At 39.0% G+C, this 21,630-nt stretch overlaps 1 protein-coding gene across 5 annotated transcripts in view, besides 1 other annotated feature; it reads left to right on the forward strand.

The window, feature by feature from the left end:
• The window catches only part of STK32B (serine/threonine kinase 32B), a 481,604-nt gene that overhangs the window by 34,796 nt on the left and 425,178 nt on the right, over positions 1-21,630 (forward strand). The gene's annotated exons all lie outside the window — the stretch shown is intronic.
• Positions 13,058-13,157: an enhancer, noted in NCBI's record as "active region_21237". NCBI's record gives its function as "activates an Ori minimal core promoter by ATAC-STARR-seq in GM12878 lymphoblastoid cells {active_cell/tissue: GM12878}" and the evidence as "EXISTENCE:reporter gene assay evidence [ECO:0000049][PMID:35858748]".

The following is a 21,630-nucleotide window of genomic DNA, read 5'->3' on the forward strand; positions in this document are numbered from 1 at the left end:
TACCCACCCCTGTGCTGGGGACCGGGAATATGAGGAGGATGAAGGCAAAGTGTTAACAATTTGCTCCCAGAGCAAGTAAACCACCTGGAAAACACAGGGTGTGTAAGTGCCCTGACGTGGGTGAGCTCAGGCGACTGATATCCTGGAGGAGGGTCCCTAACTCAGAGTGGGGGGAGGGATCTGAAAAGGCCTCCTCTTTTAGACTGGCATCTTGCAGAAATGGCAGGAGTTACCTGGGGGGAAGAAGTGGGTGATAGAAGGGGGAAGGACGTTTCAGAGAAAGGGAAGAGTATGTGCAAAGGCAGATGGTAAAGAGTAAGCCTGGCTCATGTGGGGGGATTGAGGGGGCTTAGTACTCCTGCATTGTGGAGTATGAAGCTGAAAGGCACAAAAGATGAACCCTGAATGCCTGGCCGGCCTTAAAGGGCCCAGTGGCCGTGGTCAGGTGTTTGGACTTGATCTTATAGGCATTTTGGAGTCACTGAAGGGTTTTAAGCAGGGAGTGACATGGTCCAGTGAACAAGCTCTCCCAAACCATAGTCATTGCGTGGTTGAAGGTTGAAGATGCAAACACCTGCCTGACCAGAACAAGTCTGATTTTTAAGTACTTTGATGTTAAACCACAGCTAAATATTTGCCATTGTGTAATTGTGACAGGACCGTCATCCACATTCCTAAGGCAAAAGTTTAACTCATTGTGTGCAAGTGGTCATAGCTGTTCACGCTCACATGATATATAATAAGCAGAGAAAGGATCATGCCACAGATTAATAGGCAGAGTTGCTTTTTTTCCAAGTGTTGCATAAAATAATGGTGGCTTTACTGTGGATGGCATCTAACATTTGGTGAAAAAGGGCACGTTAGCTGAGCCTCCTCCAGTTGCAAATGATGGAAAAGCAACATTAAGTGCTTTTTTGTTCTTAAAAAACAAAAGGTCTCACTCTGTCACCCAGGCTGGAGGGCAGTGGTGGGATCTTAGCTCACTGCAGCCTCAACTTCCCAGGCTCAAGGGGTCCTTCCATCTCAGCCTCCCAAGTAGCTGGGACAATAGGCTTCTACCATTATGCCTGGCTAATTTTTAATTTTTTTTTTTTTTTTTTAGAGTCAAGGTCTCACTCTGTTGCCCGAGCTCACAAAGTGCTTTTAGGGGAATAAATTGGCTCTGGCCATTTCTTGCCTTCTCCATCACTACCATTCTTGTCCAAGCCATGTCACAGCTCTTGCTTGGATTATTACAGTCACCTCCCTAAGTCCTTACATGGTCTGTCCCTACCCCCGTCACTGTCCCCTCAATGCAGCATCCAGAGTGATCCTGTTAAAACATGCCATGGGCCAGATCAGTCCTCTGCTCTGCTCAGCCCACCCTCAAATCCTCCCTCCAGCCCTAGGCACAACTTGCATCGTTAAGAAAATAAAAGCTGAAGTCCTTATAGATGCCCATCAGGTGCTACCCTCTGAGACTGCACCTTCCTCTGTCACTCCTGGCTCACCTGCCTCCTTCCTGCTCGTCTGACATGCCCTGCACCCTCACACCATAGCCCTGGCACCTGCCCCTCTTGCCCGAGGGCATCTCCCCCCCAGCCCACTCTCACTTCCTTCGGGTCTCCAGGAAAATGTTGTTGACTCATTAGACTCTCATTGACCACCCTACTTAAAATGTCATTCCAAATCCTTTTCCTTGCTTTATTTTTTTTTGTGGAAATTATCACCATCTATCATAATATTTATTTTACTTATTTTCTTGGTTATTGTCTGTCTTTCTCCACTCAGTGCAAGTACCTTAAATCAGGGATCCACAACCCCTGGGCCACGGACTGTTATCAGTTCGTGGTCTGTAGGAACTGGGCCATCAGCAGGAGGTGAGTAGCGAGTGAGGGAGCATTAATGCCTGAGTTCTGCCTCCTGTCAGATCAGCAGCCGCATTAGGTTCTCATGGGAGTGCAAATCCTACTGTGAACTGTGCATGTGAGGGATCTAGGTTGTGCACTCCTTATGAGAATCTAACTAACGCCTGATGATCTCAGGTGGAACAGTTTCATCCTGAAACTATCCTCCCTCTGTCCATAGAAAATTTGTCTTCCATGAAACGAATCCCTGGTGCCAAAAAGGTTGGGGACCACTGCCTTCAATACAGGGATCTTATGTGATTGTCTCTTCCTAAGGAATTGCAAGCTCCTTAAGGTAGGAGTTTTGCATAGTTTATTCACTTCTGTATCCTTAAGGCCTAAAATAACACCTGTAACATAATAGATGCCTGGTAATTTTTTGGTGAATAAATGAATGAGTGAATGAATGAAGGTGTCAATCTCATCAGCCATGGCTGGAAGCAGGCTCCCCATAATATCAAGAATCTTCATTCCTGGATTCTGTGCTTTATTCTCAGGCGGGCTCTCTCTTCATGGGGCTCCCGCCCCCTCCATGTTGATAGCTCCAGAACTCTGAGTATGGAAAAGAGAGGAGTATCTTTCTCATAGTAGTTGCAGAAAATGTCCCACGGTTACTTTGATGGGCTCTAACTGAGTCTTGGGTATTCTTGAATCAATTACTGTGAGCAGGGAGATTTGAGGCTCTAATTGGCTGGACTGTGTCACATGCCCACTTTTGGATTCAGGGGGTAGAGTCAGCTCCACTTGAGGCATTTGGAATAAGGATCTATGTGAAGAATTTTCCCAAGGGATATTGGAGTATCAACGGAAAAAGGGCAAGTGGACGCTGGGTGGGCAGATAGAAACAAAAAACATCCATCCCCCCCAACCTGTTATTATTGTGTTCCTTGAAGCACAGATTGGGACCCTTTGGTGTATCCTACTTAATCGTTTGATTCCACATCCACCTTTTGCACTAGACTGCAGCCTCCTAAAGAACAGCACTTAGTTGTTTTCCACCTTTGTGTCTGCAAAGCCTAGAATAAGGCCAATGAGGGCATAGAGCGGCCATTTGTTGAATGGAAGATGAAAACAATCACTTATTGGGGGCCAATTTCTTGCATTCCTTTGGGTTCTGGAGCTATTGAAAAACAAACTGATTTATTTCCAGTAAGGTCATTGGAGACTATGCCTTGGATTTGAGACCAGAATGGCCTTCCTACTCCTGTCCTTCAGTTTTGACCTTGAGACTTGCTTGAGCAGAGAACTGGTTTTTCAGCGTGGACCCTACACTGCCAGTAGCTTGGCAGCTCTTAATCATGGTGCACAGAGAACTCCCAAGAAATTCCCAAAAAGAGATAGGACATAGCTAAATGGCAGCCTGTGGTGATTTCTGACTCTTGCATAGTGTGACTCAGGATGTCACCACTCTTCCCAGTGAGAGAGAAGGCAAAGCTTTTCCCTGCTTCTTTCTAGGTAAGACAAAATTCCTACTTTATGGGATCGTAAAGGGGCCTAGAGCTTGGGGGTTGGCTTTCCAACAGTATGAGCTGAAGTGAATAGGTGTTAGGATAGAGGGAGGATTTATGTTGAGTCTTGAGGGAAGGGTTTAAATGCCTCAAGAGATAAAGGATCAGTATTTTAGCAGGATCAAACAGCATAATCTGGTGCTAAGCCTAGGCATTTTTCTGGGAGAACTGGAAAAAACAGATATTCTTAGCATTACACCATTATCTAAAATCTGGACTTTGAGAAATGGCAGACTGAGATGAAGAAACTGTTCTACAAAGAATGTTGAGGGTCCTAACACCCTAAAGGGATATTCTGGTTTACAGAACAGAGACAACAGTGAGGACACATAGTTTAGGATACCAGAGGAGAATTTCTAGTTCAGAAAGACCTGAATTACATAAGAAGAGAAAAACACACTCTATTAGGCTGAGGTCATTCCCTTAGCTAGAGCCAACCAAGGAAAAGATGGATGTCAACGTTGTTAGCAATCCTGGAGTCTTCTTCTTCTCAGTCCTTGATTTTTGTGACCTCCTTGGAGTACCCTTATGCATTGAAGATTTTGGCCTCTGCTTCATCTCTCACAAGTGCTCCATCTGTGAAGTCATCAATATAAATATCTCATTCTTTCAGTGCGGGACATTATCCTGTTTCAACGTGGGAACATTATCACTGTTCACCAACATCCTGTTCCCCTTTACTTTTCATGCACACACACAAAATTATACCTCCTTGTCCCCTTGAAGTTATGTGAGACCATGTGACTTGTTTTGGTCCATTTGAGCTGAGATGACATATGTCACATCTTGGAGAAAGTATTGAAGACCTAGTGAGTGTCACTTTATATCACTCCATCTTGGAGCAACCACAGTGATCTACATGGTGGAACTTATTTCAGTCTGGTTCCCAGAGTGAGAACAACATGGATCAGAGATCACACTCACTGCTAGCCAGCCTGCACTGAGACATGGCATGAGTGGGACAGACTCTTTTCCCATCTTTTTTTGTTTTGTTTTGTTTGTTTGTTTTTGAGACAGGGTCTCTGGCGCCCAGCTGGAGTGCAGTGGTGTGATTGTGACTCACTGCAGCCTCAACCTCCCCGGCTCAAGCAATCCTCCTGTGTCAGCCTACAAAGTAGACCATAGGAACACACCACCATGCCCTGCTAGTTTATTTATTTATTTTTTATTTATTTTACTTATTTATTTTTTGATATAGAATCTCTCTCTCTGTCTCCCAGGATGGAGTGCAGTGGCGTGGTATCAGCTCACTGCAACCTCTGCCTCCCAGGTTCAAGCGATTCTCATGCCTCAGCCTCCCCAGTACCTGGGATTACAGGCAGGTGCCACCATGCCCAGCTAATTTTTGTATTTTTGGTAGAGATGGGGTTTCACCATGTTGGCCAGGCTGGTCTCGAACTCCTGACCTCAGGTGATCTGCCCACCTTGGCCTCCCAAAGTTCTGAGATTACAGGCGTGAGCCACCACGCCCAGCTGCTTTTTTTTTTTTTTTTTTTTTTTTTTTTTGTAGAGCTGAGGTTTTGGGGTCTGTTGCCCATACTGATCTTGAATTCCTGTGTGCAAGCAATCCTCCCACCTCAGCCTACCAAAGTGCTGAGATTACAGGAGTGAGCTACTGCTCTTTTGCTGTCTTAAGCCACTGAGATTTGGGGCTGCTCATTACCACAGTATAACCACGCCTATCCTGACTGGTACACCTACCCAAACCAGCCCACCCTCAAGGAGAATGCATTCACTATTTTACAATTAAGTATTATATTAGCTGCATTGTTATTGTAGATACCCTTTATTGCACGGAAGATGTTTCCTTCTATCCTGATTTGCTGACAGTTTTTATTGTTAATGGCAGTTGAATGTAAGCAAATACCTTTTTCTGCATCTATTGAGATGATATGTGACTTTTCTTCTTTTTGTGATCAGACAAAGAATTATACTGATTGATTTTTAAATGTTAAATCAACTTTTCATTCTTGGGGTAAACACCACTTCATCATGATGTGATATATTCTTGGATTTGATTTGCCAACGTTTTGTTTATAACTTTTTAATAAGAAGATGTTATAAACCGTACGCCAATACATTCGAAGTGGACAAAATACTCTATAAAAGCACAACTTGCTGAAAATAATACAGGAGAAATTTAAATATCAGAATAGAACTAAATCTGTAATAAAACTTTCCCATGAAGAAAAGTCAAGGCTCAGATATCTTCATAGGTAAATTCTTCCAAACATTAGAAATAATAATAATACTCTACAAACACTATCAGAGAATAGGAAGGAAGAGACATTTTTTAATGGCTTTATTAAGTTTTTGTATCAATGTTATACTGGTCTCATTAAAAGAATTAGGAAGTATACCAAACTTTGGGAGAGTTTGTGAAGGACTGTTATTATTGTTATTATTTTGAGACAGAGTTTCGTTCTTGTTGCCCAGGCTGGAGTGCAAAGGTGTGATCTTGGCTCACCACAACCTCCACCTCCCGGGTTCAAGTGATTCTCCTGCCTCGGCCTCCCGAGTAGCTGGGATTACAGGCATGTGCCCCTACGCCCGGCTAATTTTGTATTTGTAGTGGAGACAGAGTTTTTCCACGTTAGTCAGGCTGGTCTCGAACTCCCAACCTCAGGTGATCTGCCTGCCTCAGCCTCCCTAAGTACTGGGATAACAGGTGTGAGCCACTGTGCCCGGCCAGGACTGTTATTATTGATAAGTTTCAAGTTTATTGACATAACATTATTCATATCCTCTTATTATCTTTTTCAGTGTTTGTAGGATCTGTAGTGATAACTCCTTTTTCAATTCTGATTTTGGTAATTTGTGCTTTCTTTTTCATCTTTTTTGATTGGCCTTTCTTGGTTTATCAGTTTTTAAATTTAAAAATAACTTTTGCTTTAATTTTTATTTGTTTTCTTTTTGATTCACTGATTTTTTAAAAATAGTTTTCTTCTGTACACTTTTTGGTTTAATTTACTGTTCTTTTTCTAGGTTTTTGAGATGGAGCCTTAGATCATTGATTATACTTACGTATTCTACACTTTATTTTTTATTTCACTTAGGAGTTTCCAATGGAATTAGTTTCCTTTGATGAAGTATTCTCTTCATCATTTCTTTTATTGCATGCTTTGTAGTGACAAATTTTTTCACTTTGTACTTGTCTGAAAATGTTTTTATTTAGACTTTACTTATGAGTGAGTCTTTTGCCAGTTATCAAATTCTATGTCAGCAGGTTTTTTTCTTCAGCATTTTGAAGATATGATTTATTGTCTTTTGCCCTCCATTGTTTCTGAGCAAAAGACAGCTGCCAGTTCTATTTTTGCTCCTTTTAAGCTTGTATGTTTTTCTTGCCAAACTGCTTTTAAGAGTTTATATTCCCTTTCAGAAACTTGATGATGTGCATAGGTATGATGATCCGGCCATCTCTGTTTGTTGTTAGTGCTTCTTGAATCTGTATCTTAGTGGCTTTGTTAGTGTTGGAGGATTTTTATTTTGTCATTTAACATTGTTTCTGACATTTTCCCCTTCTCCTTACATTATCAAACTCAAATTGCAAAAGCATTAGACCTTATCACTATGCCCCATCTGGCTTTGACAATACTTCTTTGCTTTTTGTTCTTTTTTCTCTCCTTGTTTTTAGTCTGAATATCTTCTTCTGGCCTATCTCTTTTTTAGTCACTTCAGGTCTGTCTGCTATTAAGTACAGCCATTAACTTCTTAATGTTATTCATTGTGTTTTTAGTTCTAGAATTGTCCGTCGGTTCTCTTTTATGGCTTTCAAATTCCTGCTGAAATTCTCAAAACTTGCCTTTTAATGTCTTAAACATATTAACCAAGTTCATTTGGAAGGTATGTTTGATAACTCCATTATTTGGTAACCCTGTGGGTCTATTTCCATTGTCTATTGTTTCATTATAAGCATGTTTTGTTCTCTAATTTGCCTTTTTGTAAAAAAATTGCATGCTGGGTATTACATAGGAAATAGTATAGAGATAATTTGAGGCTTTGAATGATATTATATTTCCTAGAAAGATTTTCCTTCTGGTCTTTGCAGGCATCTGTGCTATAGGTGATAGGAATCATGCTTCATCTTAAATCCTCACAGAGATTCAAATGGTCTGGAGTCCTGTGAGGGCTGGTCTATGTTTCACACTTACTGCTAGAATGTAGCTCTGTGGTGTTCTTACCAAAGCCTGGGTGTTTACCAAGCCTCCTCCTCTTTGGTAGTTCCTGATGTTCAGTGTTTGTCGCCTCCCTGAAGCCTGCAAGTGCTTCCAAAGCAGCTCCTCAGCTTCTTGGAATCTGCTTTCCTGATTGGCAGGTTCCACTTGCTGTGCCCATTTCTTTGAACTTTCCTTTCTCCTGGATATTTGTCCCAAAGTTCTTTCTTCCCTTGATAGCTCTGTAACTCCTCCAAACAGATTTTTCAAAAGTATATTTTGTACAGTTACAGTTTTACTTAGCAGGAAGGTTGACCAAAAATATTCCAGTCCACCAGAAGCAGAACTCCTCTCCTCAGTATTTATCTGTACACGAGCGCCTTCTGTTTCAAAGGTAAGCTCTCCCTAATCCCCATGCTACCTAAGATCTACTACCCAACTCTCCTCACTTTCATAACAGAGCTTCGTGAAGAAGCAGCCCACACTTGGTGTCTTCACTTTCTCGATGATAACATATTCCTCAAATCACTACATCTAACTTGTCATTTTAATTAAGCAGCTCTCACTAGGGTCATCGTGAGCTTTTTGTTTCTGAAGGCATCAGGTAACTGTAAGTTGTGTCTTTTTGGGACACACACAAAATGAGCCAACTCATGAACCTCACCATCCAACAGAAGAAATAGAGCATGTAGAATTCCCCTGAAGCTCCTTGAATGTCCTCCACTCCCTTTCCCATGTTTTCGAACTCCTAAACATTACAATGTTTAGTTTTGTTGTTGTTGTTGTTGTTTTTTTGAGACGGAGTCTTGCACTGTCGCCCAGGCTGGAGTGCAGTGGCACAATCTCAGCTCCCATTGCAAGCTCCGCCTCCCAGGTTCACGCCATTCTCCTGCCTCAGCCTCCCAAGTAGCTGGGACTACAGGCACCTGCCACCATGCCCCGCTAATTTCTTGTATTTTTAGTAGAGATGGGGTTTCACCATGTTAGCCAGGATGGTCTCGATCTCCTGACCTCGTGATCCGCCCGCCTCAGCCTCCCAAAGTGCTGGGATTACAGGCATGAGCCACCATGCCTGGACAGTTTTTATTGTTTTTGAAATTTATAAAAATGGTAGCATGTTTTATGTGTTTTTGTATAATTTGGTGTTTTCACTCAAGATTACACTTCTAGAATTCATCCTTGCTGCTGTGAGTAGCTGCCATCTATTCATTTTCATTACTGTTCCATTCAGTTACTATAGTGTAACTCATTTATTTTTTCTTCGGACACTGATTGCACTGTACTGCTTCTAGTTTTTTACTATTGTGAACCATACGGCTGTGAACAATTTTGTGTATGTCTCCTGTTGCATATATATCAGATTTCCTCTAGGATATATGCCACAGGAGAGCTGCTAGGTCATAGCACAGGTGTGTGTCCAAATTTCATAAGATGATGGCAAATTGTTTACCAACGTGATCATATTAATTTACACTCTGGCAAGCCATGTGTAGGCATTTCCATTGCTCTACATCAGCACTGTTCTATAGAAATGTGACTCAGTCGACAAATGTGAACCACATATGTAATTTTTAATAATACATTTTATTTAACCAAACATACCCCAAAGATTATCTTTCTTTTTTTTTGTCTTGAGAGAGTCTCGCTCTGTCACCCAGGCTGGAGTGCAGTGGTGCGATCTTGGCTCACTGCAACCTCCACCTCCCAGGCTCTAGTGATTCTTCTGCCTCATCCTCCCGAGTAGCTGGGACTACAGGTGCCCGCCACCATGCCCAGCTAATTTTTGTATTTTTAGTAGAGACGGGGTTTCACCATGTTGGCCAGGCTGGTCTTGAACTCCTGACCTCAAGTGATCCACCAGCCTTGACCTCCCAAAGTGCTGGCCAACTTTCAATGTGTCATTTCAGTGTGTAATAAATACCAAAATTATTGAGATATTTTACATTAGTTTATTCACACTGTGTCTTTGAAATTGAGTGCATATTTTACACTTTCAGCATGTCTTAATCTGGGTTAGCTACAATTAAAGTGTTCAAAAGTCACATGTGGCTATTAGCTAACTTATCGAACAGCATACCTTTATTTCCTCGCCAATATTTATTACTGTTGACTTTTCATATTTGCCAATTGATTGAGCATACAATAGTATTTCATTGTTTTAAATTGCGTTTTTATTGAGGTTGAAGTGTCTTTATATATTCAGTTCCCAGTCATGTTTCTGGTTTTATGAAGTTCCTGTTCATAACTTTGTTAATTTTTTAATTAGTAGTCTGTCTTCTTTGATTGACTTGTGGCTCTTTATATAGTCTACATGACATTTCTTTGTCAGTTATGTGCTGCAAATATTTTATTCTGTTTTGCAATTTCACTTTTCAAGCCTTTTATGATATCTGTTGACATCATAAATGCCTTCATTTTAATTTAGTCATACTTATTAAGCTTTCCTTGTGGTTTCCTTGTGGTTTATATTTTGTGTATAAATATGTATATGCATAAATATGTATATTTATACACAATATATAATATATAAAAACATATATGATATATATTTATTATATATTACATGTAAAGATATATTTATTATAATATATAATTCTGTACTTACATAAACATAATTATATTACATAAATATATACTTATATACATATATAATATATAAATATATACTTATATACATATAATATATAAATATATACTTATATACATATAATATATAAATATATACTTATATACATATAATATATAAATATATACTTATGTTATATACATATATAATATATAAATATATACTTATATACATATATAATATATAAATATATACTTATATACATATATAATATATAAATATATACTTATATACATATATAATATATAAATATATACTTATATACATATATAATATATAAATATATACTTATATACATATATAATATATAAATATATACTTATATACATATATAATATATAAATATATACTTATATACATATATAATATATAAATATATACTTATATACATATATAATATATAAATATATACTTATATACATATATAATATATAAATATATACTTATGTTGTATACATATATAATATATAAATATATAATATATAAATATGCATATATAATTATATAATATATAAAAATATATTTCTCCATAAGAAAACCTTCTCCTCCTTAAGATTTATGCATATTATTTATTGATGCAATATTTCTTCTTAGTTTCAGTGACATTACACCCTCCAAGGTTGCCCCCTGCTTTTCTGGCTGTTCCTTCTCCTTCTTCTTTGCAAGGCTGGCTTCCTGTCACTTGCAACGAAGCCTGGAGTTCAAGACTGAGCAATTGGACCTCTTACTTAGCTTTTTGTACTATCTCCCTGGGTGATCTTGTCAACCCCTGCATGTTCAGTCACTCTGTGTCAGTCAGGGTGCAGTCAGGACCCAGAACCTACACCAGTTTTCAAAAAGGGAAAATGTAATTCCAAGAACTGTCAACCAGTAAAAAGGTTAACTACTAAGTAGAGTCAAAGAGGACTCTAGGAGGTATAGAAGCAGCAACTTCAGCAAAACACCTAGTCTCTCTAGGGCTGAGGAAGAGTGAACACATAAAAGAACTCAGAAACTTAGAAGGTGGCCCCCTTCTCCGTGAAGTCTGTGATTCACATGTCTCTGGAGAAGGCATTGTTGCCACAATAGGCAGCCCACTGAGTGGCTGCAAGTGGTCCATGAGTGCCACTTAGATGAGGGCTACTAGGCCCCCTGGACACCATCCCGCTGAATGCCACATGGAAAATACACTGGAAGAAGGAAGAAAAGTCCTTCTTCTCACTCCGATCTTGCAGTGTCTCGCCTGTGCCTTGATTGGCAATGCCTAGCACGAGGCCAGCTGGAAAAGGAGAAATGTCTACAGGGTCCAGCTCCAACATCACAAATTTGATTTGGAGCTGAGAGTCAATAAATTAATAACTAACATATATTTTTATATGACAGTGACTCAGTAATTTTTTTTGTTTTGAGACAGAGTCTTGCTCTGTTGCCCAGGCTGGAGAGCAGTAGCGTGATCTTGGCTCACTGCAACCTCTGCCTCCCAGTTTCAAGCAATTCTCCTGCCTCAGCCTGCCAAATAGCTGCGATTACAGGCATTCACCACCACACCCATCTAATTCTTGTATTTTTAGTAGTGACAGGGTTTCACTATGTTGGCCAGGCTAGTCTCAAACTCCTGGCCTCAAGTGATCTGCCCGCCTCAGCCTCCCAAAGTGCTGGGATTACAGGTGTGAGCCACCATGCCTGGCCAGACTCAATAATTTTTTACCTTAATTCACATTTCTCCTCGGATTTCCAAACCTCTGGTTTCCTATTTATAATTCCATTTGGATATCTCAAAAGAATTATTATCTCAAATTCAACACAACTTCACCAAACTAATTTTCTTCCAGAATTTCCTAGTTTAGTGTATAGTGTCATTATCCCTTCAGTTACAGAAGACAGCATGTCTCAGGTTTTTCTCTTATCCCCACAAATCCAATTAAGCACCTGGCTATGTTGATTTTATCTCCTAAATAGCTCACAAATCTGCCTGTCTTTCCAGCCACACCAACCTCAGTTCAAACATCACGTTTCATGTGGACTCTCCTGGGCTTCCTGACTGGCCTCCCTGTCTTCTCTTGCACTTTCAGAACATTCCCCACTCAACAGCTAGAAAATAGCTTCAAATCACAAGTATGATCGTGTCGGTTCCTTGCTTAACATTTTTTCAATGGCTTCCATTGCTCTCCGGTCAAAGATTATAACCTGTAATACATCCTTCAGAACCCTGTATGGTCTAAAACCTGCCCAGCTCTCCCAACTCACTGCAAGCTGTGTTCCCCTTCACTGAATGAGTTCAATTAGTCACTGCACTTAAAGTTTTCAGCCAAATCTCTGGCACATGACAACTGTCCCATAAACTTAGCTATTTCTTCCTCTTGTAATCAATGTTATTATTTATACTCTTCAACCACACAGCCATTCTTTCAGTTTTGAAAAAGTTTACTCCTGCCCCAGGACCTTACTGTATGTTGTTCTGTCCCCTGAAACACTCTTTCCATCTTATCCCATTTGACTCAGTCATCTCCCACTTATCTTTCTTCAAGATGCCTTATCTGCTTCCTAGACTGGGTAATTCCTCCTAGAAGGTCCCTGAAATTATCACATGCTCCTTCATAGCATTGAACACAGTTGTAATATTGCATTTACTCTTGTGGCTCTTTCATTAAGTCAGTATATTAGTCTGTTTTCACACTGCTGATAAAGACATACCTGAGACTGGGTAATTTATAAAGGAAAGAAGCTTAATGGACTCACAGTTCCAGTTCCACGTGGCTGAGAAGGCCTCACAATTATGGTGGAAGGCAAAAGGTACATCTTGCATGGCAGCAGGCAAAGAGGAAATGAGAACCAAGTGAAAGGGGTTTCCCTTATAAAACCGTCAGATCTCATGAGACTTATTCACTACCATGAGAAAAGTATGGGGGAACCACCCTCATGATTCATTTATCTCCCACTCGGTCCCTCCCCCAACACATGGGAATTATGGGAGCTACAATTCAAGATGAGATTTGGGTGGGGACACAGCCAAACCATATCAGTCAGTCACCCCCACAAGACCATAGACTCCACAAGGATGGGGTCTGTGGCTCTTGAGGTGTCTCCTGTGGGCCCCACTGCTTTAGAAAGTGTCTATCATTATAGCTGCTGGTTCTTGAGTATCAGAATAGACTAAGGAAAATCACCGTGTAAACTTATAAAGGTTACAGGTTCCTTCCCAGTATCTAAAGGAGAAAGCCTAGGGAAAGGGAAAATAAAATTATACTTAATAAATACCTACTATGGGCCAAACATTTTTATACATAATATGATCTTTATTTTTATTTTTATTTCAATAGCTTTAAGGGTACAAGTGTGTATTAGTCCATTCTCACACTACTATAAAGAAATACCTGAGACTGAGTAATTTATAAATAAAAGAGGTCTAATTGGCTCATGGTTCTGCAGGCTGTACAGGAAGCATGATGGCTTCTAGAGAGGCCTCAGGAAACTTTCTATCATGGCGGAAGGCGAAGGGGAAGCACGCACATCTTACATGGCTGGAGCAGGAGGATAAGAGAGAGGGAGGAGGTGCCACACATTTTTAAACAACCAGATCTCATGAGAACTCTATCATATGAACAGCACCAAAGTGGGAAGTCCTCCCTCATGATCCAATCACCTCCCACCGGATCCCACCTCCAGCACTGGGGATTATAATTCAGCATGAGATTTGGGCAGGGACACAAATCCAAACCATATCAAAGTGGATGAATTGTGTAGGTTACTTTCAATGGCAAAAACCGCAATAACTTTTGCACCAACCTATACAATTCATCCATTGAAAGTTAACTTTCAATGGCAAAAACTGCAATAACTTTTGCAGCAACCTAATATAATGGTGAAGTCTGAAATTTTAGTGCACCAGTCACTGAGGTAGCATACATTGTACCCAATGTGTAGTTTTTCATCCCTCACTCCTTTCCCATTCTTCCCCCGTCTGAGTCTCATGTTCATAATACCACTCTGTAAGCCTTTGCACACCTTAGCTCCCACTTATAAGTGAGAACATACAACATTTGGTTTTCCACTCTTGAGTTACTTCACTTGGAATAATGGCCCCCAGTTCAAGCCAAGTTGCTGATATCTAATGTTTAGAATAACAGTGTGAGAGAGGTTTTGTTAGCTCCATTTTATACCTGGAGATATGGGGATTTCCAAGAGGTTAACTAAGTTGTCTTAGGTGACATAATTGTGGTGCTTGGTCTCACTTCTTTCTGTATAACTGAAAAGCTCTTTCCCTCATGTTGGCCTTTCCTAAGACTCAATAATTTGCATCCCACCTGCAGAATTATTATTATTTTTTTTACCATAGCTGTGTACTACCTGTACTATTGTTTAATACTTTTCTCTATCTTGACCATGACTTTAATAGAATTTTTTTGCAAGGAAACTTTATATTTCTGCTTTAAATTGGAGCCAGATTGTGACTACTATAAATAGAAAATGAGATAAAATAAAAATTAAGACGGATGCAAAACAATGATATTCAGTGTAGTGAGATGTTTTTCATTAACGTATTCATTATTTGCATAGTTACCTTTTGTGTGTGCATGTGTATGTGGCAAGAACACGTAAGACCTACTCCCTTGGCAAATTTCCAGTATATAGTATGTTATTATTAACAACGGTCACCAATGATATTGTTAACCTTTTGTAGACCTTTAGTTTGCAACTTGTTCCATGGATAATTTTGGAATGGATTTGTAAATGTGTGAATGAGCAGTAGTGCTGCATGGCAGTTGTACAGATGCAGGGTTGGAGCTGTGGAGAGGTCTGCAAGGTATGCCCAGCTTAGGGGTTTGTGTTTTAGTTCAAGGTAATGGCAGGTTCTCTTTTTTTTTTTTTTTTTTTTGAGATGGAGTCTCGCTCTGTCGCCCAGGCTGGGGTACAGTGGCACAATCTCGGCTCACTGCAAACTCCACCTCCCAGGTTCACAATGGCAGGTTCTTGAGGGAGTTTGAGCCCCACACTTTCTTTTTGACACTGGAGCTGCAGCATGTGCTCTTTTAGGCAGCTCTCTAAACTACGTTCCACCTTCCAGCCCAGCTTAGAGATAGGCTATGGGCCTTGTGCTTATGTATATCTGAGATGTACCAGGACCCCTGTCCAGGTCCATCATGGAATCTTTCAGCAGGGATGCTCCTGACATAGCACAGTGGTTAAGAGCACAGACTCTGAAGCTGCATTGCCTGGAGTCGAAAGCTGCCTCTGCTACTTCCTAGCTGAGTGATCTGAATAAGTTTCTTCACCTCTCTGACCCTCAGTCTCCTCATGTGTAAAGTGAGGGTTAAATGGTACTTACTTCATACATTGATGTCAGTACTAAATGAGTTAATGTACGTAAAGTGCTTACACAGTCTGGCAGTAATAAGTACTATATAAGATTTATTAAAATTTTATGACTGAAGATTCTATGTGGAGGTCAAAGGCACAGATTTTGGGATCACACAAGTCTGGTTTCAAATCCTGCCTTTTCTGTGTGTGGGCTATGTTACCTTGGGCCAACTACTTATCCTCTCCGAGCCTCAGTTTCTTCTGCTGAAGAATGGGGATGCACTCTGACATGGTCCTTGTGAGGATGGAGTGAGGTAACCATAGGTCAATGGCTTCATCATACAGTGTGCAGCACTTAGGAGGATGCCTGGCTCAACACAGGAGGCACAAAACATGGAGAGAAGGCAGGCAGGGGGCTGCTGTTTATTCAGCCAGAAGAAGGTGGCTCTGGCTTCCTCCCAGCGAACATTCCATCCCAGCTGTCAGGCGGTTCTTTCTCATTTCCATTCTCCTAGGAAACAGCACATTCTGATGGACTCTGCCCTCAAAGCTTCTTTGGCTGAACCCTCGTGCTACCTGTCAGGAAGGCAGAGGCCCGTTCTTAGAAGTCTGACTCTGGCAAGTAGTGTGGAACTGGTGGTTGAGGAGCAGCGTCCTCTTGTCATGTTGTTGCTGCTGATGTGGATCAAGCTGACTTTCGTGTCCTGGAGTGTTGTTTTTGCTGTATTTCTTGGCAGCCCCTATGGAGAGACTGGGGGCTGGAATGGGGACTTAGAGAGGATTAGATAGTGAGCCCCCGTCCTTTAGAAAATATCTGTCATTGTAGGGGCTTGAGGGGAAAACAATAAAAGTCCTTGGATGCCTAATGCTTAGGTTGAATTGTGTCTTCCAAAATAAGACGTGTAGAAGCCCAAACTCTGATTACTTTGGAAATGATCTTACTTGGAGATACAGGATAATCAAATTAAAATGAAGTTGTTAGGGTGGGCCCAATACAATCCAAGTGGTGTCCTTGTGAAGAGGTGAAATTTGGACACAAAGACACAAGTAAGAAAGGATATGGTAAGAGTTCCTTGGCGGTTCCATTCTCTCAGAGCAGCATCGCTCTCTTTCTGTGTTTGAAGCAAGTTATTCTGGTTGGAACAGAACATGCAGCCTTTTAGGGCCATCAGTGTCCTGAGCACCCAGCTGTGGATAAAACCCACTTATTTTGCACTCCCTTTGTATCCGGCGGAACCTCCTGAGTCCACAGAAGGCCGTCCCACAAGAAGGCGTTCCTAGGCATGAAAATGGAGGAATGGTGGATGGGTGCACTGAGCGTATAACCTCTGCTCCTGTACATGCTCCGTGGTAATTGCTTCCAGAGCAAAATCTCAAAGACAAAAGAGCAATAGCAGATCATTAAAACAAGCACCGGGCCCTCCTGAGTGCAGAATGCTGTATGCACAGGTTGCAGGTCCCTGAAGCTGGCTCTATTAGTAGAAGACGAGGAGACACTTAATGGTTTTAATATGGGGAGTGATGTGACCAGGTTTTCAGTTTGCAGTGATCACGCTAGGTGCAGACTGAAGGATGGTTTGGCAGGGGAAGAAATTGGTCGCCAGGAAAACATGTTACTCCACAAGAAAGAGGAGGGCTGCAAATGCCCATACTATTGGCTATGTTTGCATATATGTATACAGTTACTTTTAACCACTATACATTGATGTACATATGAACACAAAAATATGCCTACAGATGCTTTACAAACCTTCCATCTCCTTGATCCTGTGGAAAATGCCAGTGAATTCTCACTTGTAGGAAACAAAGCTTATCAGACTCAATATAATTGTGCTGCAGCAGAATCCTCTACCGTTCATTTAAGTGGTATAAGATATTTATAAATTCCATTTAAAATGTAATTATTTTTAAGCACACTTTCCAAACAAAATCGAAAAGTCATTGCATGTCATATTTAATAAGTTTCAACACAGTTTCTTAACCCTTCTCTCCAGAGTATAATTATGCCATCAATCTTCCTGGAGAATCAAAGGAGCTTAGCAGAACACACCTTTCATGCATTAACCAGAATTATGTTTGCTTAGGATTTGCATTTGAAAGTGATTTGCATTGGCATTTTATTTCTTCCAGAAAATAACAAATGTTTCTGATCTTTCTGAGGTATCATGGTCTTAAACTGTGGCTATAAATCTTTCAGAACTTTTATTTTACCAATTCCTTTAATTTCTGTGATATGATGGGTAGGGAGAGAAACAAAACTATAATTGAGAAACATTTTTCTTTCTTAGCCAGAAAACAAAACACAAGATCAGGCCATGGCATGCAGGTTGCCAATTTGATTTGTTTCTTGTCTTACACCCCCTGGTGACCCTTGTGTGAGATGCCCCAACTCCTCATCTTTCTGGATGCATTTATCTGTTTGTAATTAATGGGAATACGGTGTTAGATTCTGATATAAATTTATGGCTGAAACCTATAGGGCAGAGGTTTTCAAATAGGGTGTTAGTTTGGGATGAGTTTAAAGTAATAGTTATTTAAAATACCACTAGTATATTCTACACTGACAACTCTGTCTTTGTTGTTGTTGTTTGTTTGCAGGCTCAACTTGTACCCTGCAGACTCAAAATTTTAATTGGCAACCCCACATTTACATTGTTACATGGGAATCTGGTAGAAACCTCCAATTGCACTCCTGCTTCTCTTCCTATCCCTAAATGTACCCCTCCTCAGTCTTTCCTACTTCAGCAAGTAGAGATTACATTCCTTCAATTGCTCAGGTTCACACTTTAGAGTCATGCTTGACTTTTCTCTTCTTTGCACATTGCAGAAACCCCCTTACCTGTGCTCTTGTCATTCATGTCCCTTCACTCTCATCTTTCAACCTCATCATTTCAACACCAAGACACTGAGAAATCTAGAACAGGAATCCAAACAGACTCACTGCTGTCATTTGTCTCAGGCTTCCAGTCCCAATTCTGTTTATTTGCAATCATTTGGAGTTTATTCAGACTTATAACTCAGCATTTGATCTACCTTGGTAAACATGCCATCTACACTTGAAAGGAATATATATCCTTCTGTTACTGGTGTACTGTTTCATAAATCTCACTTAGGGTAAGTCTCCCATATCCTTATGGAGTTTTGTTGCTTTTTAAAAAGATAATTACTGAGAAAAAAGTGTTAACATCTTTATGTATGATTGTGAATTTTCTATTATATTTAATTTTGTCAGTGATTATGTATTTTCAAATTATGTTAATAATTATATGCACATTTAGGATTACTTTGCATTCTTGATGAATTGACCCTTTATCATTATAAAGTATTCTCTTTATCTCTGAAAATACTACTTGTTTTGAATTCGACATGGCTGCTGTTAATATGATCACAGCAGCTTTTTAATTTATTTGTATCTTTGAATACAAGCATCACTTTAAATAGCATATAGTTGGGTCTGCCTTTTGTATTTTGCCTGGAAACCTCTGCCTTTTAATTAGAGTATTTGGTATATTTATATTTAATATGATTATTGATGTGGTCAGATTTAATTCTACCACCTTGCTCTCTGTTTTCTATTTGTTTTCTGTGTTCTTTGCTCTATTTTTTCCTTTTTGTGTTTTTTGTTAATCTAATGATTTTTAAAAATTCTATCACAACTATTGGCTTTTAAACTGAAGGTGCTATAGGGATTTACAATATACATCTTTATTTTATCACAGCCTTACTTGCATTATTATGCTACTACAAATGAAAGTTTAAAAACTTATAATAGTATAATTCCATTTTCCCATTTGTTTTCTTATTTTGTAATATATCTTTATTTCTACATGTAATATAAAACTCATGGTATGTGTTATTATTTTTTCTTTAAGTACCAGGTTTTTCTTTAAGAAAAGAAAAATGTTTTGTATTTACCCATGTATATAACGTTTCCAGTGCTCTTAATTACTTCCTATGGATTCAAAGTTTTATCATATATCATTTGTCTTCAGCCTGAATAATTTCTGTTGTGCTTTCAGATAGTACAGGCCTGCTAGGAACAAATATTTTCAGCCTTTATTTAATTAAACATCTTTATTTCACTGTCATTTTTGAAGAATATTTTCACCAGACATAGAATTCTCAGTTGACTTTTTTATTTATTTATTTATTTTAGCAATATCATTCCATTATCTCCTTGACTTTGTTTTTTTCTGAAAAGTCAGCCATTATTCAAACAGTTGTTCTTCTGTAGGTAGTGTGTTTTTTTATTCCTGAATTTTTCTTTATCTTTTATCAGTTTCCCTATGATATATCAAGATGTGGTTTTCTTTCCTTTTATTCTTCTTAGGGTTTGCAGAGCCTTTTGGATTGTGGATTGATATTTTAAATCAAATTGGAAGACTTTCAGCCAATATTTTTTCTATTTTCTACCACATTCTCTCTCTCCTCCCACACATCCCTCCCCCTTTTATTTGTCTCTCTCCTCCTTTTAGAACTTCAGTAACATGTATTTCAGACCACTTGATAGCATTCCACAGACTACCGGAGATTCTGTTCATTTGTAAATATATATATGTGTGTGTGTGTGTGTGTGTGCGCGTGCGTGAAATATATTTCCTTATTTGGCTTCAGTTTGGATACAGTTTTTATTCATCTATCAAGTTCACAGATCCCTTCTGTATTGTCCACCCTTCTCTTTCTAGTCCATGAATTTTAAAATTTGAGATATTATATTTTCTAGTTCTAGGACTTTCATTTTTTTCCCCAAATTTTCTATATTTCTGCTGAAATTCCTCATGCCTTTGTCCACTGTATTTATTTTTTTCCTACAAATTCTTTAAAAATTCTGCTAATTTCAACATCTTAGTCATGTTGGGTCTCTTTCTATGGATGTTGTTTTCTTTACCATGGAACACATTCTTCTGTTTCTTTACATATCTAGTATTTTTCTTTATATGCTAGATATTGTAGATGGTATATTATAGAAGCTAGCATGTGTAAAGCACTAAACACATGTCTGGCACAATAAATATTAGCTAGCATTATCATTTCAGAATGTTTTAATGAATATTACGCTATTTTATTCAATGAACTTTTTATTTCAGATATTGTATCTCTCAGTTATGTGATTTCTACTTGGTTATCTTCCTCTGAGGAGTGTTGAGTTTTATTCCACTAGGAAAATCAATATCTGGAAGTTCATTTTGATCTTCAGATATGTGGTTTCAGACTTTGTTAGAATGGATCTCTTTTGGTTTTGCTTTTCATTCTAGAGTGTATCCTTCACTTCTGGGACTTGGTACTTACTCTTACTACACTTAATTTGAACTTCAAACTCTATGTCTCCAACACTGGGCAGCTACTGAAATCTCTACTAAGCTCTTTCAATTTTTCACCCATTGTTACACTGGGCTCCTTGGAGTTTCACCCCATTCATGCCCATTTCAAGAGACCACCAGGGATTTCAGGGGAGCTTGTATGCACATTTTGGGGCACTGAAATTAATTTTTGTGTATTGTTATTTCTTTAGTATAAATTCTCAACAATGTGATTATTGGAATAAAGGGTGTAAATGTATTTATAATTTATAACTCATAAGACCTTGGCATTCCATTTTTCTTAAGTTTTGTTGCCACTAGTACAGCACAAATGTGATCATTCTGCCATAACTTCTCTTCAAAAACATTTCAACATTGTTGAATTTGTTTTCTTAATTTGGTGGATTTGAAATGAAACCCGAAGGTTTTATTAATGTCCATGACATTGATTCCTTGACAATGTCACTTTTATTCACTTTTTTATATGTCTTCTGTGAAAATCACCTTAAAAATGTTTCTCAATCTTTTTGCTGTGTTTTTGATTTTTTAAAAATATATCTAAGTAGGTTCATAATTCATTTCAGCCATTAACCCTTGTGTCCTCCTTGTGCCCAATTTTATTTTCTCCTCCTTTTAATATTAGTTTATCTTTGGATAAATTGAATCTTAACCAAATTCAATTTTGGTGCAGCATTTTGATTCTTTTATTAAAATACATGCTTATTATAAAAAAATTGAAAAATTTAGGAAACCTGAAAATATTGTCAATAATGGTCATTTTGATAGATTTCTTATTGTTCTCTTTTCAAGAACAGGTTTTTTTCTTTATTCTGCAAATTCACTTTTTATTCTAATTTCCACTTAACAATGTCATATAAA

This window comes from Homo sapiens, chromosome 4 (genome assembly GCF_000001405.40).
Source record: "Homo sapiens chromosome 4, GRCh38.p14 Primary Assembly".
NCBI classification, from domain to species: domain Eukaryota; kingdom Metazoa; phylum Chordata; class Mammalia; order Primates; family Hominidae; genus Homo; species Homo sapiens.